Source organism: Homo sapiens, chromosome 2 (genome assembly GCF_000001405.40).
Source record: "Homo sapiens chromosome 2, GRCh38.p14 Primary Assembly".
Classification (NCBI taxonomy): Eukaryota; Metazoa; Chordata; class Mammalia; order Primates; family Hominidae; genus Homo; species Homo sapiens.
This window is the reverse complement of record NC_000002.12, coordinates 16,012,853-16,015,302: the sequence shown is the minus strand read 5'-3', so window position 1 is coordinate 16,015,302 and position 2,450 is coordinate 16,012,853. Positions and strand designations below refer to the sequence as shown.

Genomic DNA, 2,450 nt, shown 5'->3' with positions numbered 1-2,450 from the left:
TACCATTCTGTCTCACCTGGGAAGGGGGATGGGGTACCATGGCAGGGGGCCCCATACCATCCTGTCTCGCCTGGGAAGGGGTGTGGGGTACCACGGCAGGGGGCCCCACTGTTACCCCCTCTGCTTGCCTTACAATACTAGGGGAAAGTGTGGAAGACAAAAGTGTTCCTCTCTCCATCCCTTTCTCTTCAGCACCTGAGATCGGCTTGGTACCAAAAAAGTACTTGCCAGCTGAATGGAAGAAAAAAGGAAAGGTAGGCAGGAGGAAGGAAGGAGCCTCATCTTGTTCATCAAGTGAGGTAAGGGCAAGCCAAGAAGTGACGCCATTTTAGGAAAGAGGCAAGGACGTGAAACAACCCAGACTAGGGAGGAATCTAGAAGCAGTTTGTTCATTAGGTGCAAGGTGCAGGGCCAGCCTGCAAGGTGCAGGAGAGCAACTGGACCAATGAGGGTTTCCATGCCAACCTGAAGAGGTTGGTCTTTATTCTCAGGATGACAGTCATCCGTCGTTGGACTGTTCTAAGGAAGACAGAGATATAACTAAAATGGTGTTTTAGAAACAGCTTTCTGGCTGCAGTGAGAGAAGATGGGTTGGGGGGTGAGGAGCCAAGGGTGAAGAAAAGGAGCGCTAGAGGCGCCCCCACGGGCCATGGGGCAGCCTGCAGAAAGTGCAGATGGACAGTAGCAAGTTAAAGGCAGGAGAGCCGACGCCCCGGGGCTTGCCTGGCTGCTGAGGGTGACAGTGGAAAATCTAGGCGGGCGTCCAGATTTCTCATACAGAGGTGACACAGGACGGGAAGCAGGTTGGAACGTTCCGTTAGGAACATGATAAATAGCTACTCTCTGTTGCTATTCTATTTCCCTTTCATTTAGTTTGGACAAGGGAGGCAACCCTCTCTCAATAACGCCTTTCTTGTTTTTAGCTGTGTTGGTCATTCACTGATGTCGGTGGGGTGGGGGAGCTGGTGGGAGGACTGAGGGCGAGGGGTATTAGTAAACATGAAGCGAAGGCCTCGGGATGGTTGTTAAACAGAGAGCCGGGCTGAATCAGGCGAGGCCGGAACACCTGCCATGTGTCCGATGCCCAGAGCGCCCGGGCGTGTCCCTGAGGCCTGGACACTCCCCCTGCGAGCCGTTTCCAAACCAAATGAGATGAAGACACACAAAGAACAAATGCCTTCGGCACCTACTGACAGCGGAGGGGCTCCCGGGCGCGACTCAGGGACAGCTCCTCCGGCTTTACCTTCGGAGCTTGTGGTTTTGCTTACAGGGGTTTTTAAAAATTTCTGCGTGTGCAGGTGTTTTCTTTTTGTTAGTTTCAACGCAGCCGCAACTTGCCTCTGACATTTCAAAGTGATGGAGGTGCCTTTTCTTCCCGCCACCCTCTCTGGTGCTTCCTGCGCGTCGCGCATCTCGGGCTCTGAAGACCCTTGCTCCGGATGACCAGGAGGAGAGTGCATGCCACACGTCCGAAGCTGCGTCTCCACAGAGATCCCCTCCTTCCTGGTGCCTCGCTCACATTCTTGAAGCCCCCTGGCTCCTTGCCCAACACTCCCCAGTCTCACAAAGAAAAGAATTTGCTTTTTTTTCCCCTTCCTCCAAGCTCTCCTTCTCTTTCTCTAGCTCTCTCACTGTTTGTCTCTGTCTCACAGCCTCTCTCAGTCTCTGTCTGAATCTTTCTGTCTCAGTCTCAGTCTCTGTCTCCCTGTCTCTGTCTCTCTTTCTGTCTCTGCCTGTCTCTCTGTGTGTCTCTGTTTCTCTCTCTCTGCTTTTCAGTCTCTCCTCTCTCTCTTTTCCTCTCTCTCTTTTTCAAATTTCAAAGCGTTGCTTTGAATGACGGACTATTCAGGACAGGCAGAATGAGGCCTCTCTGGGGCTCGGCTGCAGTCAAAGCCTCCCGCACTTCTAAAGGGGCTGCGGCCGGTCTACCCGGGGCGCGGGCGGCGTTGTCGCGGTGGCGGCGGCCCTGCGCCCCGACTGGCCATCTGTATGCAAATCTCAGCAGACCCAGCAAACTTGCATCAGCCTGGCCGGCCTGGCGGGCTGTGCACTCGGCAATTATCAGTGCACATCGGGCCTTTGTGCCCACGGCCGGGCTTTGTGGGTGCCCAGCACCTGCACCTCGGAGGTGGCAGATGGCAGGACTTGGCAGCAATATGGAAGTTTGCCTGAATGTGGCCAAGCCACAAATGGACATCTTTTATTTCTTCCTGGGGGTGGGGAGCTGAAGAGAGGGGGATTAGTGCTGGATTACCACCCATTCACGCACTCGGCAAATATTTATTGAGTGCCTACTATGTGCCCCCAGCCAGTGGTCTCAGGAAGGGCCCAACAAAGGAAGGAAATGATGTGGGTGTTTTGCTGGGAAGAAAGAAAAAAAAATCTGGGAAGTGGCTATTTGCATTCAAAATTGCTACATATGCAACTGGCAGGACAGGTTTTCATTCCTG

General features: G+C 53.6%; 1 annotated feature.

Moving 5' to 3' along the window:
• Positions 1,244–1,855: an enhancer, noted in NCBI's record as "H3K27ac-H3K4me1 hESC enhancer chr2:16153570-16154181 (GRCh37/hg19 assembly coordinates)". NCBI's record gives its function as "activates a minimal SCP1, AML or CMV promoter by ChIP-STARR-seq in naive H9 embryonic stem cells {active_cell/tissue: H9 hESC(naive)}" and the evidence as "EXISTENCE:reporter gene assay evidence [ECO:0000049][PMID:30033119]".